The 27114-nt window shown below is 36.5% G+C and overlaps 1 protein-coding gene and 1 long non-coding RNA gene across 4 annotated transcripts in view, besides 2 other annotated features; one reads left to right on the forward strand and one right to left on the reverse strand.

The window, feature by feature from the left end:
• Window positions 1–4418: 4418 nt before the first annotated feature.
• KCNMB2-AS1 (KCNMB2 antisense RNA 1) overlaps window positions 4419–27114 on the reverse strand; it is a 334939-nt gene continuing 312243 nt past the window's right edge. Inside the window, exons 6-8 of one of the 2 annotated variants that reach the window (NR_126560.1) lie at window positions 16213–16348; window positions 14666–14851; window positions 4419–5577 (exon numbers count right to left, since the gene is read on the reverse strand). This is a non-coding gene — a long non-coding RNA (KCNMB2 antisense RNA 1). The remainder of the gene's footprint in view (window positions 5578–14665; window positions 14852–16212; window positions 16349–27114) is intronic. The other variant, NR_126561.1, reaches the window with a different exon arrangement.
• The window catches only part of KCNMB2 (potassium calcium-activated channel subfamily M regulatory beta subunit 2), a 307994-nt gene continuing 296267 nt past the window's right edge, over window positions 15388–27114 (forward strand). For both annotated transcript variants that reach the window (XM_011512325.3, NM_181361.3), the window contains exon 1: window positions 15388–15663. The gene's annotated coding sequence lies outside the window, so the exon portion shown is untranslated. The remainder of the gene's footprint in view (window positions 15664–27114) is intronic.
• Window positions 15949–16018: an enhancer, noted in NCBI's record as "active region_20852". NCBI's record gives its function as "activates an Ori minimal core promoter by ATAC-STARR-seq in GM12878 lymphoblastoid cells {active_cell/tissue: GM12878}" and the evidence as "EXISTENCE:reporter gene assay evidence [ECO:0000049][PMID:35858748]".
• Window positions 24536–24585: a silencer, noted in NCBI's record as "silent region_14907". NCBI's record gives its function as "represses an Ori minimal core promoter by ATAC-STARR-seq in GM12878 lymphoblastoid cells {active_cell/tissue: GM12878}" and the evidence as "EXISTENCE:reporter gene assay evidence [ECO:0000049][PMID:35858748]".

Consider the following 27114-nt stretch of genomic DNA (forward strand, 5'->3'; position numbering starts at 1 on the left):
ATGAGCAGAAGCAACTTTAGCAGCTTCGTTCTGCATATCGTTTTACATTTTATCAAATGCTCTCTTATTTGGTTCTCACTATAACCTTCTGAGGTGGGGATACATATTAGTATCCTTGTATTAGAAGTGGGAAAGGTGAATGTACATGACTTTCCAAGGTGACATTCAAAATTACTCCATGCAAAATTCAAAAACAGCAGCCATGATACTGAAATCCACATTTCCCAACTATAAATACAGTGCTCTTGCTTCCAAGCCAGGCTTCCAGAGAAATATCACCAAAGTGGCTGAGCGCAGTGGCTTACACCTGTAATCCAAGCACTTTGGGAGGCCGAGGCGGGTGGATCACGAGGTCAGGAGTTTGAGACCAGCCGGGCCAAGATGGTGAAACCCCGTCTCTACTAAAAATACAAAAATTACCTGGGCGTGGTGACACACACCTATAATCCTAGCTACTCCGGAGGCTGAGGCAGGAGAATCACTTGAACCCGGGAGGAGGAGGTTGCAGTGAGCCAAGATCATGCCATTGCACTCCGGCCTGGGCAACAAGAGTGAAACTCCGTCTTAAAAAAAAAAAAAAAAGAAATATCACCAAAGATTGCTTATTAGAATTTTCCCTAGCACTGGTCTTCTGCATTCTTTAAGAACTCACCAGCATGGATATAAAGAGTTCAAATGAAGGTGGTAGTTGGTCAGTCGGGCTACATGTCTCTACTGAGCACCTGTTAATTTCTAAGCAACTGCTAATAGTGTTAATAAATGAGACTATGGAAGTAAAGGACATATACAACCTAACCTCACCTCTAGACATACAAACAATTGTAATTAAATGTGGTATATTATAAAATACTGACATGAATAAAGGAAAAAATCACAGCTTATTCTGGGTGGGGTCAGGTAAGGCTTCCCTGAGAATATGGTACTTGAAATGAGTTTTGAAGTTGGAGGAGTGTGGCCTTAATTTCCATACGGTACATTTTACATGCCCAAATATATAGGACAACTGAGTATAAGTTATACCAATTATTAAAATTTTTGCAAGTTGACTGGAATTAGGAGAAAGCAATTAAATATAAGCTACTAATTGTGAAGCATATTAGCTATTCTTCATTCCCCTTGTAGAAGTAGCATCTGGAACAGACGTGTTAAGGAACGGTCAGCCAGACCCTCAACAATTTGATAACTAATGGCCAGACAAATGAAGGGGATGACAGAGTCATGTTTACAGGATAATGAGAAAATCTTTCACATCTGGGACATGTAACAATGGCAGATGGCAAAGGCTAGAGTGAGAGACAAAAAAAAAAATACCTACAGGAAGTGGCAAGTTCTAGCAGCTGCAGAATCAAGCTCACCTACTGAACTCTTTTGAGTTCATTCAAAAGAAATTTTCCCCTTGACAGCCTCGAAATCAGTAGTTAAAAACATGCATACTGCACAAGCAATGATTGTCAAGTGTTCACTGAATCATCAGCCAGCAAAACACCATAGCAAAACACTAGAGAATTTGTATAAAACACCACGTAAAAGGTGAAGACTTCTTCTGGATCACTGAACAGGGCTTCTGGAACATCTCCTCTGCCCCCATGCTCATCCCATTCTTTCAGGACACAATGGCAAGAACAAAGGAATGGGCAAGTAATCTAGCAGATACAGACACAAGTGGCAGTTCATGACGCAGAACACGAGTAAAATCCATTACTAGCACCATTTGTCAGGTGTGCATATGGGTCATAAAACAAAAGAACATAATTCATCCATCCACAAAGAGACAAGTTTTGTCATCATCATGAGTGGGCATCTCAGCAGGAAGTAACCACCATTGCTGTTACTAGGGGTAGTAAAAGCAAGGCAACAGAGGCTTTAGTGTTTGTGGATTGTTCATCTCTTTGTACATTGATTCAGTTAACTTTTATTACACATGTTCTATGTGTCAGGCACAGAGCTAGATACTGGGTATGCAAAGGGAAATGAACCTTATTTCTGTGCTGAAGCAGCATTTCTTATGAGCAATACATGGGCATCTATGGGAGGGCAGGAGTAGGTCTTAAAAATGAGACATACCCCAGATGAAAAAGAGAGGAGAAGCATGAGCAGTCATGGAAGGGAAAGAGGGCAGCATGAGCACAAGCAGAGAGGGAAGAAAACATCAAACATGGGCGCTAGACAAAGATCTCAATGGACAGTGACCTATGAGTAATACAGTGAAGAAAATGAAGCTCCAAAAGGAGGCAGGGCCATGCAAGAATGCCTTCACATGTCAGGAAGCTTGAACTTCTTAATAGACCAGTGCAGAACCAATCAAGAGTTTTGAGCTAAGCATCCCTAACTAATTTATTATTTTAATTGAAATTTCCTTAGAGTTTTACATTTAGAATATTTGCTGTTGGATTTTGGAAAACAGTCTTTATTATATTTAAATTGTCTTTCTTTGTTCTTTCTTTTATTTTACTTAATATGTTATTAGGACTGGATGTTGACTTTTATCAAATGCCTTTTAATGTCTTTTAACAAGATAATATGACTTTTCCCCTTGAATTTGTTGAAAGCTTATATTGATAGATTAATAGATGTTGCATTTCTTGAATAAATCCTAGTTTGACACAATATATTATTACTTTTTCCGAAGTAACTTTATTCTGGTTTGGTACTAAAGTTATTCTGACTTTATAAAAATCAAATTAAATGATTTACTCATTTTTTATGATCTGGATTAGAAATAGCTTTACAATTAACTATTCTTTAAAGTTTAGGTAAAATTTCAGCTGTGAACACATCTGATCTTTTATGTGATGACTGGTTTATTAGCATGTTTGTTATCTAAGTTTTCAAATGTTTTATTTTATTACAACTGTAATGTATATGTTTACAGTTATATCTTCCTTCTATATTTATATCTTCCTTCTAATTGATGTCATGTATTTTTGCTCATTGTGTTTTCTTTAATCATGCTCAGAGTATATCTATTTCATTAGTTTTTTTAAGGTTTTAGATTAATTTGTCTTTTCTTTCATTTCATTTTTTCCTATTCTATTAATTTCTACTTCTTTTTAAAAATTGCTTTTCTAATCTTTTCAGATGTATAGTACTAGCTTTACTTTCTCATCTTTCTTTTTTAATAGTACAGGCATTTGGAGTTGTATATTTTAGGAGTAGTAAGTTACAGAATAAAGAGTCTCCCTTTGTAGTTCTTAGATAAATAATAATTTCCATTTGACTTTCCCTTTCTACAATGGTAATTCAAGAGTGCTTTTTAAAATTTTATTTCTAAGAAATAACCTTTCTTTAGTCACCTCTCATTTTCCTCTGTCACAAATTATACTTGATAGAAGACCATGGCTCATGGCTCACACCCAACTTTTAAAAATTTGTAAGGTTTTCCTTTGTTAGTCAAGTACATAATTATCACCATTATTATTATTACTATGATTATTTTGTAATTGTGATTCTCTATTTGAAAGATGGAAGCTTTTTACAAATTCTTACCGATGTATGATACTCTTCAATTGCTTTATGATTTTACTAATTTTTTGCATATTTAATCTGTCCAATTCTTAGAGAGAGCTATCACTTCCTTAAATTAGTGTTACCTATTATAACTTTTTAAAAGTTCTCAAATTTTTAATTGTTTTTGCTTTATGTATTTAGCTAGTTGATGTTTTTTAATTGGTGGGTAAATATAGGTTTATGATTATCATTGCTTCAAGTAGTATCAGTTTTATCATTATATAATATTTTTTATCCTCTATAGTGCTTTTAAGTTTAAATATATCAGCTGCCACTAATATTATAACTTTCTATTAGCTTGCATTTGTATGATACCTCTTTTTTCACCTCTTTATCTTCAATCTTTGTTCACCTTTATCTTATTTTCTTTTAAATAGCATATACATGGGTTAAATTTGCTTTAACCCAATCTGACGTCTCAGTCTTTCAAAGGGAAAATTCTGCCTACAAATGATATAGTAACCATTGTACTTGATTTTATGTCTTCCTTTACACTTTATTTTAATTATTTATTTTATATTACTTCTTTTTTTTTTCTTTCCCTTATCTTTGCTGATCATGCTATTATCTATTGTGGTTTTTCTTTTTTTTTTTTTCTTGTTAATTTGGGACTTTTATGGTACTATTCCATCAATGATTATCTTTTCTCACACTATTTTTGAACATTAAATGCACATTTTCACACCAGAACACACTATACAACCAAGATGCTATATTTCTTCTCAATGTGCTCCCTCTCCTGTCCTCTGTAATATGAGATCTTAAATGCTTGGCCTTCTCCTCCTTTCCCCAGATAGGAATCCTTTGGAAGGATTTTTACTTATCCCCTCCCCTAGCCTGGCTCCTAGTTTTTGCTGAGTCAGCCTAGAACTCTTGTTCCAAGTTTTTAAAAATAATAATCTGAATTCCTCTTTCAGTAAGACTATTTATTCTACTTCAAGAGTCCTTACAGAGCACTGTTGCCACATGTTGCCAGCCAGCCTTTTCCTATCCAACGTTTGTGTATGTGTCTGTGAGTGTGAACGTGTGTACCAAGTGTCATTGATCGTCATGTATTCTTTTCATCAGCCTCCATCAGTTGTTTGATTCTTTCAACAAATCTTCCTTTAGTAAACAAGACCTATTGGAGTACTGCTCTTTTAAGACTATGATGAGAAAATTCAATAAATCTTGCTTACAACAGGTTTCCAGCTTTACCTCTTCTCAGAGAAAATAATATACTGTCTCTTTCTTAAACTTTTTCTTCTTCTGCCCCTGTAGCTCTTGTTTTTAGCTGTTCAGTTGTTTGGATTAAATCCTCAAGTCTCTTGTCTTTTTCTGATTCTTTACATTTTTGCTCTGTGCCTCAAAATGTATCTTGCACTTGATCTTCACCTCAACAGTGACCAGCTTCTTTGATATCTAATAAAAAGTTTAGTTGGAAGGTCATGTGTTTAGCTCTAAAAATTGTGTCCAGAACTTGAATTTTGTTATTTACATGCAAACACACACACACACACACACACACACACACACAGAGAGAGAGAGAATGTTGTATTTTGTCTCCTTTTGAAGTTCTATTTTGCTGGTCGTGTATTCAGTTTGCTTGGCATACTCATTTTCTTTCTAGCTGCTGAATCCCCTTAGATGGGTTGTTATTTTCTTTGTCAGCTGATTGGTATCACATATGATCCCTGGAGAATCCAAGTGGTAGCATTCTGGGAGTGTCTACTCCCATGGGCCCTTGACATACAAGTAGGCAGTGTTAGCCCCCTCCTGAACACCTGAAGGAAGCCTCTTTGTTTTCAGATATCTTCATATTCTCCCAGGCTTAGTGCCAAAGAGGAGACAACCCACATGTTTCGCTATTTCTTTTCTTGTTGGATTCCATAGAAACCAAACAAATTATAGTAAGGAGCTTCCCTAGGAATTTATAGATCCCATGGGTCAAGTCTTCCAATGATATGCTATTTTCTTGTCATTGCCTTATGACTTCCAGCAGTAAGTTTCCAGGCATTCATCCATTCCTTGGAGTTTTCTTCACAAGAAATCCAGCAGAGCTCAGGGTCACACCTGCAAAGGGCCATCAGTCTATTGGAGAAAGGAAAAGAGTGGAAGTGAGCCACACTCAACGAACTGTATCGTAAAATCTCTTCTTTGTTAATACATTTTTGCACTTACTATTGTTTTTGTTAAATAACTCACTTACTAAACAATTCTTCATCATTTAATACAATTGAGTAATTTGCAAATTAATATCACAAACATGACCATTAATAAATACAGTATTAAATAAAAATAGACAATTATCCAAGTTATCATGAAAATATAAGGGAAAGAGGAAGGTTAGTCCTAATCCTTTTTAAAACACAAATTTGCCACAATTATTTTGGCCTGTGCTACCACTTCTCAGTTGAGAAATACAAGACTATCACCTGTAGTCATGCAGGTTTTTTATGCTGTGATTCCAGAGCCGCCATTCATATATGTAGACATCATAGTGTTTTTCTACTTATTGAGATTATTTTCTAACAGAAGGTTCATAAATTCTGATGAAGGGGTGGCTTTTTCTAATTTTTACAAAGTCACCATCTGGCCACACGCATGGTTAAGATTTCACCAAAGTGTCTCTATTTCATAAACTTCATTTTCTAAGAGAAATGGAAAAGGTAACGCTTTAAACTTAAAGATAATGTCAAGTTGTTTTGAATGGCTTGTTTGATTTTGTAATGCATTCTAGTACTTCTACCCAAGACTTTTTCTTTTAGTTGGCAAAACTCTAGTGATTTTTTTCTTCAAAAATTCTGTGATTGTTTTTTAAATTTCCCTTCAGAAATGATAGATTCATGGAATGTTTATCCATTGTATTCTTGTATAAGAAAAAATGTCATTCTCTATTTCCATGATAATATACTCAAATTTTAAATAAACATTTGGGTACATTCTACACTTTTTGACAAGTCTGGATGCTTCTCATTATGTGTTTTCCAGACATAGTTGGGTCATGCTATCAACCTTGTTGCTATCAAGCACTTTGTAGAGAGCTTTAAGGATGTCAGTTTTGACACGTGTCTATAATTTCAGGTTATTCTTAATTTCCTTCATTATCTTGCATATTTCCTGATATTTCAAGCTCATTTTAAGAGTTACTGTTTTTAACTAGCCAGAGAGCTATCACAGTTGAAAATATAACTTTAGAATTAGCATACTTAAGACATAAATTAGGTATGGCCCTAGAATCATGCACACACACACACAATTTAAGTTACTTCACTGGTAGAAATTAAAATAAAACAGGGACTCATTTAAATTAACATTTAATTGAATGCAATTTTAGCAAGATGTTGATCTGATTTGTATGTGGGCAGTTTTCTTATGTGTAACAACCAAAAAAATACTGAATCTTAGGAAATAAACTCTTTCTCCATATAGCAAGCAACATAGGTTTCTTCTAACTTGCCAAGAAATTGTACGCTCCCATCCTTTTGTATTAGCATCACCAGTTCTCACTGAGGACTTGTTTTCTGTTCATTTTGACTTCTATCACAAAAGCTCCCTGAAGACAAAATAGTTCCAGATTCCCAATGACTCCCAGTTCATAAAATTGATCTTTTTTTCTGAGTTTACGTTATTAATGATGTTGAATAACCTGATCTTATGCATCTGTTAAAAACTTTACAGAACACAAAAATTCAAAACTCCTGTCCCTACAGTCTTGGAGCAAATTGATTTTCCAGGAAGACACACCAGATTTACCATGTGGATTTGCTTACATCAGAATCCCCTGGAAGTAGAAATACCCAAGGTTTTAAAGGACACAGTGAGGAAGAGATTTTGCTTTGAACAATAGGAACAACATGAATCTAGGGACCAGACTTTGCAGTAGTTCTTCACTTTCCCTCTTCCCACAATAAGAATGAAAACATTTCTACTTCAAGAAACTGAAATAAAAATGCCAACACTAGTTATTCTTTTCCTTTGCCCCCTTTCTCTCCCCTCTTGTTACATGACAAGTGATTTCCACTTTAGTCCCAAAAGCAAAAAGAAAATGAAATAAACCTGTGTGGAAGACTGGAATAAAGCATTCTTTTCTCACCATGATGACTCTTCTGCCAAAAGTAGAGTCATACTCCACTCATGGGGCTATGAAAATGGTACAACCCTTCAACAGAGCAACTCAGCAAGAACATACCAAGACCCTTTAGAATCCTCGTACATTTCAGCCCAACAATCCACGCATGGAAATCTATCCTAAAGTAATGTAATCAGAGATGTAGACGAAGATTTTGGTACTAAGCCTTCAGCAAAGCCATTTTGCTAATGAAAAAGGAAGATAACCTGTGTGTTAACCAATGAGGGTTGTTGAAAAAAATTACAGAAGATGCATATGACAAAATACTATATGTTTATTAAAAAGATTTAAAGATTTCAAAATAACATGGAAAACATAAGGATAAGGAGAAAATAAATATATAAAACTAGATGCAATAAAATGCTCTTTAATATTATAATAGAAGTTATCTCTGGATTGTGGGATGATAGGAAACTTTTAAAATACTCTTTGTATACTTTTAATTTTTATGTTTTTTCGATACTCCAATTTTTCAATACTGAGTGTGTATCCCTTTCATAATCTGAATTAAACAAGGTTTAGGGATTTTTTGTTTCATTTTTAAGGAATAAAACAGGACATACAATGACACTACCATCCTATCTAACTTACACCCTTTATGAAAGCAACTTTACAAATATACTTCAATATGCAAATGTATGTGTTTATATCCATTTTGCCAATTCCTTTTCTAAGTAAATTATGAAACAAGGAAATATTTATTAAGACTTTTCTAGATGCCTAGAATTTAATAAGCCCTTAAAAATTCTCCACCTAGCAAAGACACAATACATTTATCAGGATTATGCTGTCATTTTGTAAAGTGAACGTTTCACAAAAAATATTCACATTTTGCTAAATAGCATTTTGTTTATTAAGTGGTTCTTCTTTTACTCTAAGAATCTAGCAACATAAAATGAGCTAATAAAATATACACATAAATGTAAATACCAACATACACATAAATCTTTGCCTTTTATAGCTAACCTTAGAGCTCTCTGCATACCAAAGATTTTTGTTTTTGTTCCATTTTGTTTGGAAGACAGATGTCTTTTAATTAACATAATATTGAAAGCAGCAGGTATCATGTCTAATGCTATGTTGTATAGCAACCAGTATCATCTTCCCATTGATTGCACATAGATACACAGAGCCTGGAGTGCCACATTCATATAGTCCATATTTCCAATAAGCAGGAAGACTGCAGCTAGGTCCTGGGAAGTAGGAGATTCCAAATGAAATAAAACCTCAGCAACTGTCAATGCTCTATTTTATGTTTTATTTTAAAACTGATTTATGTTCAGTACTCTGACAGGCTTCAGAAGGATGGTAATGAAGCCCCAATAAGCTTCTGCCAAATGCAATGCCTCAGCCAAAGAACTATTGCTTCTGAAAGTGGTTAAACTAGCTTATTCCAGTGCTTTCTCATGGGATCCAAGAGTGGGCTCTGCAGCATCTCTATCTGTGTTTGGTGGGGAATCAGGGAGGTGTTGGAGAGGATGTTACTATTCTGAAAATTTAGATAAAATTAATTAATATGTATATTATATTATTATGTACCTCCTTCTCCCATTTGACCACATGCACACAGAATGGTAATAACTCTATATAAAACCTGCAGGTAAGGCTAACTGCCACAAGGTTGGTGGTGGGGGTTAGGACCTATAGGACTTGCTCTCCTAATTGTGATAAAGAGAGACGGGAAAGCAATCAAATAATCCAAGAACATGACCCAAATCGTGGTCGTACTGGGTGGGTTTTTGCTTGTAACCCACCGGTCAGGAAGTCCTGGGCAGCTGCAATTATTACAGAATTATTCAATATTGAGTCTGTAATTAGAATTATTATGAATTTCTATAGTTCACCTTTTAAAAATATTTAGCAACTCTATCTTAAAAACATAAGTTGCAATAAAACAAAATGTTTCTTAAAAAGCCATGAGTATTTGTCACATAGAAGGAGAAAATATATATATATATATATATATATATATATTCCAGCAATCTCTTATTTTATGCTTTTTTCTGTAGTTTATTTTAAAAACTTTATTTTTTAGAGCAGTTTTAGGTTCACAGCAAAGTTGAGAGGAAGACACAGAGGTTTCTCATATACCCCCTCACTGTATTCCTTGCCCCACATATGAAGAGATTTCCCCGTTATCCACATCTCCCACCAGAGTGGTACATTGATTAAAATTGGTGAACCTATATTTAATTTTTAAATTGATGAAACTATATTTAGATTCATCATAATTACCCAAAGTCCATAGTCTACATTAAGGTTCACTCTTGGTGATGTACATTCTATGGGTTTGGACAAATGTATTATGACATGATCCGTCACTACAGTATTATACAGACTATTTCCACTGCCCTAAAAATTTTCTGTGCTTCACCCACTTATCCCTCCCCTGACCTCCCATCTCCTGGGAACCAATGATCTTTTTACTGTCTCCATTGTTTTCACTTTTCCAGAACATCAGGTTGCTGGAATCAGTAGGTAGACTTCTCAGATTGGCTTCTTTCACTTAGTAATGCTCATTTGACTATCCTCCATGTCTTTTCATGGCTTGAGAGCTCTTCTTTTTCAGTGCTGAATAATATTCCATTGTCTGGGTGTACCACAGTTTATTTTTTTCAGCTACTGAAGGACATCTTGGTTTCTTCCAAAGTTTGGCAATTATGAATAAAGCTGCTATAAACATTTGTGTGCAGGTTTTTGTGTAGACATAAGTTTTCAGCTCTTTTGGATAAATACCAAAGAGCCTGTTTGCTGGATCATATGGTAAGAGTATGCTTTGCTTATTGTCTTCCAAAGTGGCTGCACCATTTTGCATTTCCACCAGCAATGAATGATAGTTCCTGTTGCTCTTGCATCCTGTTGCTCTCCAGAATTTGGTGTTGTCACTGTTCTAGATTTTGGCTCTTCTAATAGGTGCATAGTGGTAGTGTGTTGTTGTTTTAATTTGCATTTTCCTGATGACATATGATGTGGAGCATCTTTTCATATGCTTATTCGCCATCCATATATCTTCCTTAGTGAAGTGTCTGTTAAGGTCTTTGGAACATTTTTTAATCAGGTTGTGTGTTTTTCTTATTGCTAGGTCTTAAGTGTTCCTTGTATAGCTTGGATAGCAGTCCTTTATAAAATATGTCTTGTGAATATTTTCTACCAGTGCGTAGCTTCTCTTTGTTGTCTCTCTTATTTTAAAATTTTTTTTAAAAAATCTTCTGCTGCATATATTAGTAGAAGTTTTAACTAAAAAATACAGGACCTAGGTGAAAAGTTTTATGAAATAAAAAGAACACTGGATTATGAGGACATACGCACAGGCTACGTGATTGCAAAAAAAATCATTAAACCTCCCTTATCCTCAATTTGCCTAGATGGAAATGTAACTATTAATATTTGCCTTGCCACCCAATAACTTTATTCTAAAAGTATCAAATGTGATGTGGGCAAATATACTCCAGAAATGTAAACTTTTAGAAATTATGATTTCATGAAAACTTTTTTAGAGAAATTTAAATTTGAAGGACAATTTTTGTGAAAAGTGATATGGACCAATTAAAGCATTTCATTTCTATTTTAGAAATAAGATGCTGGTTTGATGTTAGATTTTCTTCAACTGTTGTCTTTAATTGCTTTCTAAGTTTATGCATTTGAGTTTATACTAGAAAATGCCTTTTGTATGCACCTAATGTGGAACTGTAGATCACTTCAAAGTGAGTCAGCTTCAACATTCACAGAAATATAATAGTAAGGAAGCAGTGTCTAAACTAACTTTCCTGTTGTTCCTGGAAAAATAGTCATAATAGGGCAAAAGCAGTTACTTGCTGTATTATTCAGAGCATAAATTATATACTCCAAAATATAATTAGCACTTGTGTCTGTAACAGATAGCTACATTTTCTGGTTATGTATCTATCAAATTTTCATTTTAATAGTGATGACTCATAATGAAATTATGCATTCATTGTTCCATTCATTAAACCATTTCACTGGCGGGCTGTGCACGTAAACTGCAAATTCTGTGTATGTGTGATCACACCACTCTCCCCCAGTCTCCAGTTCTTAACCTAATATTTGTTAACACACACAAATTCTTTCCAGAACAAGTTCTCTGATGTACATTCAGGGAGCAGATGCTGTTGAAATGTTATCAAGTTACAGATGCACAAAATATTCTTGCTGAATGTGTTTGGTAATATAGCTCTGAAATATCACTTCAGTCCCTGCCTTCTGCCGGCCCAAACTTCACTCTCTGGGGAACCATCCAGAAAAGTAATGCTAAGAGTTACTAAATTCACTCCTCCGATCAGCTGTTTTCAAAATGGTAGAACAAGCTTTCAACAAATTCAGCATAGGTTTCTCTCTTGTTGAAGAAGGTATGAGCTTCAAAGACACTTTATTATCTGAAACTTCATGATAGAGGTAAAACTAAAGGAACAGCTATTGAAATGTGATCCAGAAAACAAAACAAATGCAAGAAAGAGATTGTATCTTATATGATTCAACAGGAGAAATTTTTCTCTCTTCTACCTCCCCTAGAGAGGTTCTTTTCATGCTTCCTTTTCTTCCTATCCCTTTTCTCCTCTCTTTCCTATTGTGGCCCTCTCCTCATCTTCAATCATGCATCTCCCTCTTTCTTCCTGCTCTGTGATAACTAACATTTATTTCAGTACATCTCTTTGTAAAGAGCTTCACTCATACATTATGTCCTTTCATTCACATCACTGCAGTCTTAGAACAGCCATTGCTATCATTTCATTTGAACACAGTGAACTGGAAACAGGCTAGCAGAACTGTTTCCAAGTCAGGCTGCCTTATTTCAAAGCCTGTGCCCTCTTCCAATACCATGCTATCTCAAGAAATTCTTTCCTTCCTTCCTCATAAATCTCTTTTCTCCTTTTTCTCTTCTTTCTCCTCCTTCAGCGTCCCTTCCTCATTTCCTGCTCCTCTTTCACTACCACAACAAACCATCTTATGCTCCATCCCCATTCCCATCTGAACACTGCTCCTTCCAGAAACCTCCTTTATTCTCAGATGGGTCTGAGTTAGGGGCTTTCTTTGCTCCTCCAGGAACAGAGCCTCCAGAAAGCGTCACTAACAATCCCTGCCCCAGGCCCACCTTCTCGCTTTATCCCATTATCAAAATCTTATTCATTTATCTCTTGTATTTTTAGCCACTGTTTTCTGAATTAGCCACAGATAAAAATTGGAGGGAAGTATACGACTGGGGTATTTTTTCTGATCCCTCCTCTCTGCTTTCTTCCCCTCCCCTCTTCTCCCTTCTCTTCTCCTCTCCTATTCTCTTCTCTTCTTCTCTTCTCTTCTCTTCTTTTCTCTTCTTTTCTCTCTCTAAATCATATAGTGGTGGTGTTTAGGTTATAATTTAAACACTTCCTTACATTTGAAAAAATAACTGTGAGATATAATTTGTAATATTACTTTTCCTTTTTTTTTTTTTTTGTTTTGTTTTGTTTTGTTTTTTTGAGACAGAGTTTCGCTCTTGTTGCCCAGGCTGGAGTGCAATGGCACGATCTCGGCTCACTGCAACCTCCACCTCCCGAGTTCAAGTGATTCTCCTGCCTCAGCCTCCCGAGTAGCTGGAATTACATGCATACACCACCATGCCCGACTAACTTTTTGTATTTTTGGTAGAGACGGGGTTTCTCCATGTTGGTCAGGCTGATCTCGAACTCCCGACCTCAGGTGATCCGCCTGCCTCGGCCTCCCAAAGTGCTGAGATTACAGGCGTGAGCCACCGTGCTCAGCCCCATTATTATTAAAAGAGAATATCACAAATACTTTTCCCCTGAAATAATTCTTCTATTACAAATGTTTGGATTATTTGCTTGCCTATAAAAGACAGGATTTTCATAAAATCTTTAAGCATTGTTTTTCAACAATTTCTTTTCGGAGTTTTTATACTCACACTTCAGTGGTATCAGTTACTCCAATTACAAACTGTGAAGTTGAGGTACTAAAGAAAATAATTTTGTATTCGCTGGACTCCTCACAACTGTGAAAATTTAATTACGCTGGTGAGAAATAGTTCCTCTTGGATGACCATGAGGCTAGTGAAATGTCTTGGACTCTTAACATAAAAGAATTTTTTTTCTTTTACTACTTGGAAAACTGAAAATTTGAAAAAGTCTTTTTCTCTTTTTCCTACCAATTTAATGGGCAAAGATTTTTTTTTTTTTTTAATTTGAGTTGCAATAAGTATTTTCTGACTTTGGTTGTCCCAGGAAAACCACTATAAGGATACTCAAAGAGAACAAAATTATGGTTTGTGATACTAGGACAGTTTTCCTCTAAATCACGTTTTATTCCTGAGAAGAAACTGTAACCAGTCAAGTAACAACTAAAACTCACACACCATTAGGGCATATTCAAACTGACAACTAGGAGTTTAGAAAAAGAAAGGTTTGAGAACACCCTGGGTAACATAGTGGACCCCTGTCTCGAAAGAGAGAGAGAGAGTGAGAGAGAGAGAGAGTGAGAGAGAGAGAGAGGAAAAGAAAAGAAAGAGAGAGAGGGAGAGAGGGAAGGAGGGAGGGAGAGAGGGAGGGAGGAAAGAAGGAAGGAAGGAAGACAGAGAGGGAGGGAGGGAGGGAGGGACAAAGGAGCAGAGGAAACAGCGTCTTTGCTTTATCAGACATCTGAGCAATTCAGATATTCAGTTATTACATATAATAAAATAATGGATGCTATGACCCGATCATTAGAGCATTTCTAGATTACAAAACTACCAATAATTAAGTAGTGGTGATTTATAATCATTCTCTCTAATATTTTGTTGTAGTAGTTTGTAGCAGTTTTTGTTTGTTAATTGCTACTCATTTTTAGTTCTATAGGCCAGTATAATACATGTCCATCCATATTACATCTGCTGCTCTCTTTAAGCCCTTCCCTGGAGCACACCATCTAGTTTCCGTAGTAACTACTACAATACTATTGCTCCTGGAGTAGCAGGAAGAAAGGAAATGCGGAAGAGAATGAATAAATTGTGTAGTTCTATTAAGAACTTTCTCCGCTTCCTTACTTGCAAAGGTACTTAACTTTTCAGAGTAGCACTTCCAGCTAACTGATACCCTCTTCTCTGACCAATGTTAAGAAATCCCTCTTCTATCTTCCATGATCATGACTGTCCAAAGTGGAGCAAGATAACGTACACATTCCCATTCTTTCCATCCATCATTCATTCTTGCCGTTTGACAGTTGTGCATGGCATGTGATTGCTTCAGCCTGAAACACAAAGCTTTGTAAGTCAGCATAAAATAAACACTTTATGCACTGAATGATCCATTCAGTCTAGTTGATCTATAATTTGAGATTTTGTGTACATGTGTACCTTAAGTCATATCTCAGTAATAATGAGAACTTTTCCTATTTGGATTGATTTTCATACCTAACTCCAGAGAACACTTATTTTTGTAACTGGGAAGAGCAGGAATCCCTTACTGGGAGTGAGAAAATTGTTTGGAGAATCCTAGAGTGTTTACTACCAAGTTCGCTTTCCATATAGAAAATATCTATTTGGCTCTCTCTCCTATAGTTAAGGAGGATTTGGAAATCTGATCCAGTGCAGGGCGATGTCGGTCTGGGAAGGAAGACTGTGAGCCCTCTCTCCCTTTTTAATATGAGAATTCGAAAGCAGTGGGGAAGTGATGTTGGACCTATCACAGCATTGCTAACAGACAGCCTATTACAGTATTTAATAAAAACAGAAACAGCATGCCTATCATAGGCTAATAAATCCTACCTCCTGCACGCTTTAAAACAGTATGAAGCAGCTTTAACGGAGCTCCAGATAACTAATTTCAAGCATGGCTGTCTAGCGTGCCTGTCACTCCTATTGTCCTTCCAAACTCTTTCAGACATTTTGAGCAGGGAGTATTAAAGCTATGAGTTAGAAAGGGTTGTGACATTAATGGTCCACAAAGGCTTTAGGCACAAGAGGTAATGATGATTACCGGTGGCTATTTGGAGGACTGCACCGGATCGCTGTCATTAAAAATTAAGCGTGGCTTTTGAGGAAGATGTGACAACTACCGGAGGTAGGATTTGCATGTAAAACAAAGGAATCTGTTGCTGTTTCATGCTTTTTGTTTGTTCTGTGGCGTGAGGATCGTGAATTGCAGCCAGGTGCGGAGTGAGAAGCAGCAAGAGGAGGGAGAGGGGAGTGGGAGACGCTCTGCTTAGAGCAAAACACAGTGGACAGTATTATGTTTTATGGCAGAAATGCCTCCAGGACAAACTGGCTCCAGGCTTACAGCTTGCTGAGTGTGCATTCCACGTTGCTTTTCCTGTGGAGTAGAATGCTTAGAGGTCACGAAGGAAACACTTTGCCTCTTACCTGTGGTGCCGGCTGGGCTACTGTACTGGTAGGGTCGAGTGAAGACTTTGGTGGGTGGAAGGCATAAAGGTCCAAGAAAAATAAAGAGGAAGCTGTCCTTAAGATTTGAAACCTGTTATTTTATTTCTACAGTCAATGTGTTTTGATGGTCAGAGTCTGATTTTTCAAAGGGGAAATTGGAAGATTACGACAAATTTCCCTGACAAAGAACTATTTCCTATGTAATCCATTATAAAAGAAAATTGGGTACCTTCGTCCGTTTTGCATATTGAAAGGCTGACCCACACTGTTTGGGTTCATGGTTTTCCTAAGCAGAGTAAGAGTTTTCGACTAAAAGAAGGGGCTTTCTCTCGGTTCCTGCTCTTGCTTTTCAACAACTGCTGGGGCTGCAGATGGAAATGGTGATTAGTTAGAGGTTATGGACTTGACATTTTACCTTTCTGTTTTGTTTTGTTTTTTAAATGAACAGCATAAAAACACAATTCTCCTTCAAAGATGGGAGGGGCAGTTGGGTTCCAAAGTCCAGTCGATAATGAATAGATTTGCAGAGGAACTTATTATACTGCTTTGTACTTTATATGGGATCGGTATAGCACAATCAGAAAAGGAAATGTCAGGAAATCACAGGCTGAGATTTCTAAGGCAAAAGTACAATGATCAGAAACCAGTGTTTTCTCAACTTGATCTATGGTGCAAATTTCAGTCTTTGTCATTGCATATGACCCTCAATGTGAAGTGGCAGAAACATAGTAAGTGAATTTCTCAGTGCTGTTGTGTTGTTTCCCCAGTGGACTTCACAAACTCCGAGCTGTAAAGATGTTGCTTTATATTCTGAAAAACTCTGTATTCTGAGGCATAGATTGGTTATAACGAATGGCAGATATGTGAAATAATTATAAATTTATAAAAGAATGCAATATTCTTCAAATGCATCTAAAACTTCCATACTAATGCAGAATTAACTAGAAATAAAATTGGAAGATGATTAGAGTATGTTTGTTTTCAGCTAAATACTGCAATTAAGGATAAATAGGGCTTTTGCTCTTCTCTGATGCAGTTGAGTTTGTGTATTTGTGAGCTTCTATATATATACTGTAATCCACATACAAAGTTGAAATCATTGCCCCATAGTAGATGGCATCTATGTTACAGTTTCCTGTTTGTTTTTCCTAACAGTGTGGTGGATTTTACTGAACCAGCCGAACTCTCTTGGCTGGTCTTTACGTGACCAGACCACATGTCCACGAAATGACTGTATGGAATTCTTGGTGCATTTGATAGCTATGACATCGTTTTCTGCTTCTATGTTACCAGTGAAATGTGTGCCCTTGACCTTGTGAAGTCCCTTCTCCAGCCAACTGACCAGTCAAGAATGCATGTATAGAAAGAGAGAGCTCAAAATACACAAACAAAAATACACACATACATTTTACTTACTGTTGTTAGAGGTTTACAAATCGATATTATTTCTATTATTTTCATTAATTTCATTAAGGGTAAAAGGACTTTCACTGCCTCTGGTCTTACCGATATCTTCTGAATCTAATTGCATCAAGTATTTACTTTAGAGGCAATTCGTGCCTTGAAAGTTGTCAACAGGAGAAATTATTTTGCTATGGTTATGCTCATAACACTTTACTGATAAACTAAAATGAATTTTCACAATTTTCACAGATTGATGAGGAAAAAGTTTCCGTATTCTTGATGATATATGTGTCTGAACTGTATGCCCACAACCTGAAAAATATAGAGGAGATATGGTGCTTGTTTTTTTTTCTTTATAAGCTGTGAGGAAAGCCAAACCAAGTAATTTAGTCAAAACAATCTACTTTATATCACAAATTAATTTTATTGCCTGTTTACATTGGTAGATACCAGCCAAAACATTTTGAGATATCTTTTTCTTTCAGCTTCTTCTACATCTAGTAATAAAAAACAAACAATTCTCCAGCTATGCAAAAAGCAAGTCTGCAGTCCCCCTTGATATAAAAAATAAGCACAGCTTTAGTCAGTCTTGTTTCCTCAGTCCCCATGGGTAACACAGCCATCGTATCAGTCACCAAGACACTTAGAATCCAGAGTTGTCCTTGTTCTCTGTCTCTCTTATATACACAGACAGTCATCATCCTACTTTATTGGAAGATATTGGACCAGATATTTCTCAAACTAACACAATCTTCCCTTTGATCATCTCTCCCTCTCATCAAAATATAATTAAAAATAAAGCTTCCAAAAATATTTCTGCTATGATATCAAATAAAAAAGCAGACTGCAAGAATGTGTATATAATTTTGTTAATGCATATGTGTGTATGAAAAAAACTAGAAAAAAATGCATCAAAATTTTAACAGCAGTTATCTCAGTGAGGCGGAATTGGTGCATTTTATTCTCTTCATACATTTGCACGGTTGCATTTTTTTTCAAAGAGCATCTATTATATCAATAGTAAGAATAAGACATATCATAAAAGTTTATCTCCAGCCCCTGTTGCCATCTTTGTCTGTGATCCTGCTGCATATCATGTAGTATGTCTTCACCTCAAATTCCAAAGTCATTTGCTTGTCTAAGCACAACTGATTAAAGATGCCATTCCATTGTCAAATCCTCTTCATCCTTAGGTTTCTTGGTACTTCAAGAAAAACAGCATTATCCTTTTTCAGGGACTGACTCCTACCTCTTAACTCAGGTTTCTGAAAAAAGGGGAAAGAGAGAGAGAGAGTGTGTGTGTGCGTGTGTGTGTGTTGAGTGTGCATGTGTGCGTGTGTGTGTGATTTCTCCTTATTTTATAAACAGAGACTTTTTCAATCTCCTGCTGGTTCCTTATTATTTCCTAAACCTTTAAATATTGGAGTGTTCCATGGATCAACTATAAATTTCTTCTTTATCTATACTTAAGCCCTAAATGAGTTCAATCAAGTGTCAAGCCCTCAGAAACTTCCCGTATACAGAGCTCTCAAATTCTAATCCCTAACCTTGACTTTTCCTCTAACCTCCATACTTACATATCCAACTACCTACATAACATTTCCACTTAAATGTCTACAGGCATCTCACACAGGATATGTTCAAAATCAAAGTTCGGAATTCCACAAAATGTCCTCCTTCTATATTTTTCTCCATCTGTGTAAATGGGAACTTCACTGTTGCACTTGCTCAGAAGAAAAACCTTGGAGTCCTCTGTGATCCTCTCTTTCTTTTGCACATCACAGGAAATCCTAAGGCCTCTACCTTCAAACTGTGCCTAGCTTTAATTATTTCTTGTCATTTCCACTGCTACCACTCTGGGCAAGTCACTACCAACTCTCACATTATTACACATTTTTCACAGTTGGTCTCTTACTTCTGCCTCCCTTCTCCCACCCACACGTTCTATTCTCTACCCAACACTGGTGGTCATTTCAATATTGACGTTAAGTCCTACCTTCTGCTCAAAAGCCTCCAATGTCTTTCTGTATGACTGCAGACAGAAGCCAAGGCCTTACAGTGGCCCATGTGCCCTGGAATAATCTGGTTCCTCCCTGTACCCTTCTGCTACCATTCTTTTCCATTCCACTGCCACCACGCTGGCCTCCTGGGCTAGTGCTCAAATCCACCAAGCACTCTCAAACCTCAGAGGCTTTGACTTGCTCTGCCTGCTGCCTAAAGAATTCTTCCCCTGCATAGTCACTTGACTCAGTTCTTTACTTTTTTTCAGGTTTCTGCTGAATGTCAGAAAACTTCCCTGAAAACACCTTTCAAATCACACCCCTTTGTACACTTCTTATTCCCAGACAATGCTTTCTTTTTCTCCATAGCATACCATATTATCCCCAGGACATTACATGCTAAGATTTTATTGTCTATCTCCCTTCTCCTCAGTTGTAAACTCTATGAAAGCAGGAATTTTTATTTACTTTCTGAAGTATTCATAGCACGTAGAATAGGGTCTCTTATGTAGTAGGCACTTAATGAGCAATTGTCAAACGAATGAACAAATTATTCAATGTGGTAATTAAATGTTTTCCTTCATCAAAATCCATTAGTAGCATTAGATTCCAAGTATAAGATTTTCAACCTCAGAGTCAGAGCTCTGTGTCATAACACTCTGTTGCTTTTTCCAAAGAGCACCTTCAAGAAAGTTAAGGAAATTTATCAAGATGGTTTTCTTTCCCCTGCCTGCACAGGAGGGGGAAAAAAAATCACATCACTGATTCCAATCCATGTCAAAGCAAATAAAAATTCAATTTGTCTGAATTTGATCTTATCCAAACGATGACTTCTATTTCAAAAAGGACATTTTCACAGATCTCCTATACAAATGACTATAAATGTTGACACGTCCTATATTTTCTTTGCTCTCCCCTGGCAATGAGGAAAGGGATGGTAAAACCAAGTTGGAAGGGATGATTGGGGTCAGTATGGCTTTCTAAGTGTACAAGCCCCAGTAGCCTGTGCAGCAGTAGTAATCAGTTAATACAATCAATAATCGTACTATTCATTTACACTTTCAAAATCAGCATGGTACAATCTCATGGTCTGTTAAACAGTGACCTCTCTACCATTTATACATTTTTTCAATTAATTAAAATATAATAGAATAATCTTATTGTACAAATTGGATTTAAATAATAATGTCCAATATTTCTAGAATGTTTTATAGTGTCAAGAGGTAGTGTGATGTGAAAAGGATGCAGCATCTGAGACAAACACAAGCATTAAGACAAGATAAACTTGGTTTGAATCTCACCTTTTCTACTTCATGTTGTTAGATATGAGTTCTAAATTTCTTTTCAAAGAATTAATATCAGTATGTTCAATTCTTTGCCTTCTACTTTTAAACTTAACTTCCTCATAAAGCAACCTTTTTCGATTACCTACTACACCCTGACTCAGTCCGATCACCTGCTCATTCTCCACCCTGACTCATTCTGATTACCTGCTACCTGCTCTGCTCCGACTCCAGCCAAAGCACCCACCCTGTCATTCTCTTTAAATTAGCCAATTGGAATTAGTTTATCCTGTGCAGTCTAACCCCACCCAATAGGGGAACAACACAGCAGCAGGGGCCACGTGTGTCAGGGATGAGGACCCCTTCCCCTCCCTTGTCCAAGTGTGCGCTCACCATTGATCCATCTGTAAGGGCGCATCCTTCTATAGAAGTAACTTGTCTTGCTAAGAATTAAAAAGAAAATTTTACATTCTAGTGCTATTCCTTTTGCAGCACCGAAACTTTATATATAAAAATAGCTACATGATGTTGGGCAAGTTTCTTAAACCTTACTGAGCCTCAGTTTCTTCAGTGGTAATTGATGACAGTAATAACTACCTGGTTGGGTTGAAGTTTAAATGTCATAATATATACCACTTTCCCATTAGAGTAACTGGATCAGAGGAGAAGCTCAAAAAGTAATAGTTATCTCATTACTATTGTTATTTAATCTTCACAGCATACCTCAGCAGTAGATATTATACCTTCCATTGAACAGATAAGAAAACTCAAAAGTAGGAAAGTTAATCAAATTGCTCAAGGTCAAAGAGCTACTATGCTATCAAAATTTACTCTCTATTCAGCTGTAAAGACTCCTGATAAATAGAATGTTAGATTAACTGTCTTTAATGTATTTGATGACTGAAGGCTACTGGTGGTTAGGAGAATTTTTTTAAAGGAAGAATCTAAAGAATAGAATTTTCTTTCATATTTGAACAATACAGATGTCTCATGTACTCCTTCCCTAAACAAAAGTACACTCAAACTCCCAGGAAACAATCTGAATTAATGCAAATTTACAAATTAAGAAAGCCCTTTCTAGACACGCTGTATAATGGAGTATTAGAAAACCAGTTTCACAGCCCTGAATATCTTGGTTTGAATCCCAGTTCTGCGTCTTGCCTGAGTCTCCCTTTCCTCAGAAGGAATGTAGGTAGTAATGGTATATTATTCATGGGGTCACAAGGATTAAATGAAATAACCTGTGCCCAGGTGTTAGCACCATGCTTGGCACAAATTAGTGCATACTGCCTATGACCTATTTGTATTAAACTATTATCATCTAAGATGAAACTATAAACTTTAATTGCATGTATTATAATACTGCAAGATTTGGTTTAAAGGTCCCCTTTAGTTTTTACTTCTTGGCATGTCATGTCTCCAAATTCATTCAATAGATGTCATTTAAGAGTCATTTGACCAGAACCAGAAACCAATTTTCCTGAAATGTATGACATTTGCTCACTGCTTATTAGGCCCAAAATGAAAGAAGCAATTCTGGAAAAATCAAAGAAAATGTCTGCCTCTCTGAGATACCAAACCTAATTTTATAATTCACATACCTGGGACAGAACTTCAACCCAGTACCTTGTCAGACTTCAGCTTCAACATGTCCAGTGTCTTCACTCTGTCTGTGGCTGCGCTGACTGAAACCCTGAGAAACTGACCAGGTGAATGCATGATCATACAAATGACTTCAGTGCACAACGTGCATGAAATTGGGAATTAACCTCATCAGTTACTCTAGATTTAGCATTAATTTTTGAATCCAAAGGGTGTTTCATTTAATTGCTCAATAAAAATGTCACTACCTCCAATTAAACTATTGGGAAACTCTCAAATCCTGATCTACTACATAGGTTAAACTTTCCTTTTCTTTGGTCAATTCTGAGCTTCATTCTGTACCAAATAACTTCTCAAATTTCCGATTCCTGAAGCTTGGTAACTAATGGTTGAATTTTGGGGGATGTGTTCTTTAATATTTTGTAATTTCTCATATCTTCCTCTGTAAGTGCAACTGGTCCCGACACTAGTATATCTCTCCAAAAGTGTGTATGTGTCACTGTCATAAAAATGTCACAGATTTTTAAGATTGGATTTTTTTCTTAATCTTCACAATATGTTTCTCCTTTTTGTTGCAAGAATACTCTGTGCATAATTCTACCACGGTCCTTAATACATTATGCTGTGATATTTGGTTCACTTATCTGCCTCCTTCCACCCCTCCTTAAACTGTAAGTCTCTGAAAGGTTAAGGACTAGGTCATCGTCATCACAGTACTTTCAATGCCTAGCACAGTTCATGGCAGTAGTTAATGCTCAATAAGTGTTTCTTGAAAGAACAAATCAATCATATCTATAGTATATTTCTTAGTGTCCAGTTTGACCTAAAAAGGGTAAATGCCCACATGGTCAAAAAAATCATACACCTCAGAAATACAGTGCTGCAGGGAATTATTTTATAATAATTAAGCCCTGGATCTGCCATGGGCTCACTAAACTCTCATTCACCTGTCCTCTCACCTCTTCTCTTTATATTCCCAGGCCCACATCAGATGCTCTTTCAGAATGTTTCTCTCTCCCTTCCTCTCTGCTGTCTGCCCACAGCCACTACCCTATTTTTCTAAAGCACATGGTGGGACCTTCCATTCAAAGCTGACTTTGAGTTTGACAGTTCAGACAGCAAATGCCTAAACCCCCTCCTCATCAAAGCCCGGGTGACAGATGATCCTGGGTGAGAATTTCAGCTCTGGAGAGGGGAGGAAATGAATAAGCAGTCAAATGTCAAGTCTGCTGACTTCTTAGGAAAGAAAGAGAAGATACTTATAATACTGGACAGGAGGGCTTTGGCTTACATTTGCCAGCATTATACTAAATAGGGAAAATGTCAGCTGAGTCCCACATGTAGATTCCTTGTCATCTTGGTGTTTTCCTGAGTGTAAAATTAAAACTCCAAAAGATTCTGGACATCAGAGCTCATTTTCAGTTTTCAACAAATCTATCTGATGAGAAAAAAAATAGGCAAGTAGTAAAATATGCAACTAAAATTTTAAAGTCTAATTTTTAGCCAGATAATTAGGTTGCAAACTCATTGAAAGCAGCAACGATGTTTTTTATAAATCTCAGGTGACTAGAACTATATTAAGTATATACAATAGGTTTTTTAAAAACAACCTCTTGATTAATATATGCCCTCCTCCTTACCCTGTCCCCTGAGGTAAAGCCATATTAGGGAAATCAAGTAAATGCCTTATCTTTATTTACCAGACTGCTTGACTGGGGATTTAGGGTTCCAGAAACCACACAAGTTTTAATTCCACAGAATCCCCTTTGCACACCATGGTGTAGAGAGGGCTCTTATAGAAGGGGAAGGAAAGAGCAGCTTGTGAGTTCTGATGCTGCCCGTTTGTTTGTAGAATCCTATCACTCACAGGCATTTCTATGATTGGAAATCATTTACAAAATTAGTCCACATAGGATTCTTACTAAAGAGGATTCAATTTGGGAATTTCTCGAAATAAAGCCCTTACTACACTATGTGTGTCTGGGAATGTCACTGACATAGTTCAGGACTTCATAAATAATGAGTTTGGTTTTGTAAGACGTTTGAAGTCTTTTCCTCATTGGATTTTTCACTGGAAAGCTGGTAAAGGTCAAGCACCTGACTCCATAACTCATCCACAAAGGTAAAATATCTCTCAAAGTAAAACTCTGAGAAAGTTAAAAATAGCCAGCAATTCAAATGCAAATCTAGAATCTTTCTTGCTTTGCATCAGATGCAGAGAATCATTCCGGACATGCTGCATAAGGCACTTTATGAGAAGGATAGAGAAGCAGTTGGTAAATCTTGCTCGTGAGATAATTCTTGAATGTCTTGAGTTTGGTTTTGCATAAACATCTGAAAATTTTAGACTATATGAAGAATGTATAGTCCCATCAAATTGAACTAAAACTCCTACAGAGGGATTCTATTTCTGTAGAAATTCTGGAACTATTGGTTGTCTCTGGATTGTTTGTTTGTTTCCTACTATATTTCAAATGAGGAAATTAGAAGGGGGAAAAGAAACCTGACATCCAGAAGAAAATAATACCTAATTTTAGAGGCCACATTTTCATCGCATTTTGACAGGATTGGTCCCATTTCTCCCTCTCTGTGAAGATGATCATTCACTGGTTTAACTTTGCTTCATGGTGGTTTTATCTGTGTGGTGCTTGGGAACAGCCATGTGAGGCTCTCTGTGTAGATAACTCAAGGTAACTGTTTGCTTTGAAAACATAAAAATAGAACAGCACAGGACTCATTTCTCTGTTGGAATGAATCAAAAGAAAAGTTGACAGAGAAATAAAGTTTATGTACAAAGGAGAAGGAAGGTTTAGATAACATATACCCAAATATGAGAAAATTTTTGTAGATATAGAAAATATAACAATAGAACTGGTACAAAGAAAACTGGCTAGAGAATGTCTATAACAATCTGCTTCTCAGTCTTCTAGGTCTATTTCCCCATTGACACGTGGATTTAGTGTTTGCTGAACTGAAAGTGAAAAAAACTGGTATAAAGAAAACAAATGTGCTCTGATTTACATGCCTAAATGAAGAAAGCTATCTTTTTTCATATAAGCATATAAAGTTGTAATTTTGATTTCAGGCACATGATGGTGTTTAAGTACATTTATTGCAGCTTGTATTCTAGTGAGAAGTAATAAGAAAATTAATAAACAAGATAAAAAGGAAGCTACTTACTTCACCACAACCTATGAACGTCCTAAGGTGTCTACACGTTTTAAAAATTCATTCTCCATCCTACTACCCTTTAAATTATAGCCTGTTACAGGGAGTAAGTGGGGACTGTGCCCTGACAGAGTGTCAATGTGTCTGGAGAGCAAGAGTCAGCAGCATGTATTTGGAAATAAGGCTAAAAGGTAGAAAAGAGCCATGCTAAGTAAGACCTTACAGGTCACACGAATGAGTTTGCTCATCATTCTAAGAGGAATGGAAAGCCATCCAAGGTATTAAGCAGGGGGCTGACAAGGTAATTGCACTTTCCAAAGGTATCTATGACTGCAGTGTTGTGATCAAAATGGAGAAGAACAAGAGTGGATGCCAAGAAGCCAGATGAAAGTCTACTGTAGTAATCCAAATGATGCTAGCCTAGCCCAGGCAGCTGTGAGATGGCGGAAAGATGGCCAGAAGAATATGTGTCTGGAAAGTGCTATGTTTGAATACATTCCCAATGTTCACGTGACAGAAACTTAATCCCCAATGCAACAGTGTTAAAAGGTGGGACCTTTAGGTGAGCAGGTCATGAGTGCTCTGCCCTCCAGAATGGATTAATGCCATTTTCGCTGGAGTGGGTTAGTTATTGTGGAAGTGGGTCCCTAATAAATGGACGAGTTGGGCCCCCTTTTCCTCCTTCACTTCTCTCTTATGTGTGTGTGCTCTCTTGCTCTTCCGCTTTCCACCATTGGCCCCTTGACCTTGAACTTCCCAGCCTCCAGGTGTGTAAGAAATAAATCTCTGTTCTGTATAAATTACTCAGTCTCAGGTATTCTGTTATAGCAGCATAAAATGAACTAAGACAGAAAATCACTTCATAGAGTTGTTCATGGACTATATTTGAGATGTGGATAGAGAAAGAGACGATGTCAAAGATAACGCTATATTTCTGGTTAAACAACTGGATAGATGGTGAGATTATGGAACACTGGAAAAGGACTACAGTTCCCTTTCATCATAAAACATTTTAAAATTATAGTGTATGCTCACTGCCTCTATTTCATATATGTGTGTGTATGTGTATGTATGTATGTGTGTATGTGTACATGTATATTCTTGAAATCCTCTCTTTACTTGACTTGAATTATGTTTAACTATTTAACTTCCCAGGTTCTCTCCTACTTTATAGTTCTTTTTATCTTTTCTCCTTTCCTGGGTTCTTTATCTTCTCTTACACTTTAGAGCTTTTTTCAGTAATTGGAAATATCATCTATCCACACTTAAAACCGAAGCCATCTCTCCAGCTGCAACCTTGCTCTTCCAACCCAAGTCCTGTGTTGTCTACTACCTATGTTGACATTTCCCTGTGGCTGTCATCTTTAGACTTCAAAATTCACTTGGCAAAATTAAACTCTTATCAGACCTAATAAATCTATACTGTCTCATGTTTCTGTTCATTGTACCACAAATCTTCCAGCTATTAAAGCCAATAATTGTCTTTGAATCCTCTTCCAACGATAGATCTAATTGGCCTACTGATTCTTCTTTCAAAATATCTTTTGTTTCTGTCACTTTTCTCTTCACAGACAAATAAAGTCCCTTTATTGGAACACTTTGGTTATTAAGATAGTTTGCTAAATAACCTCCTCAACTCTACCCTCATATTTTTCAAAGTGGTAGTTATTGAAT

This window comes from Homo sapiens, chromosome 3 (assembly GCF_000001405.40).
Source record: "Homo sapiens chromosome 3, GRCh38.p14 Primary Assembly".
Classification (NCBI taxonomy): Eukaryota; Metazoa; Chordata; class Mammalia; order Primates; family Hominidae; genus Homo; species Homo sapiens.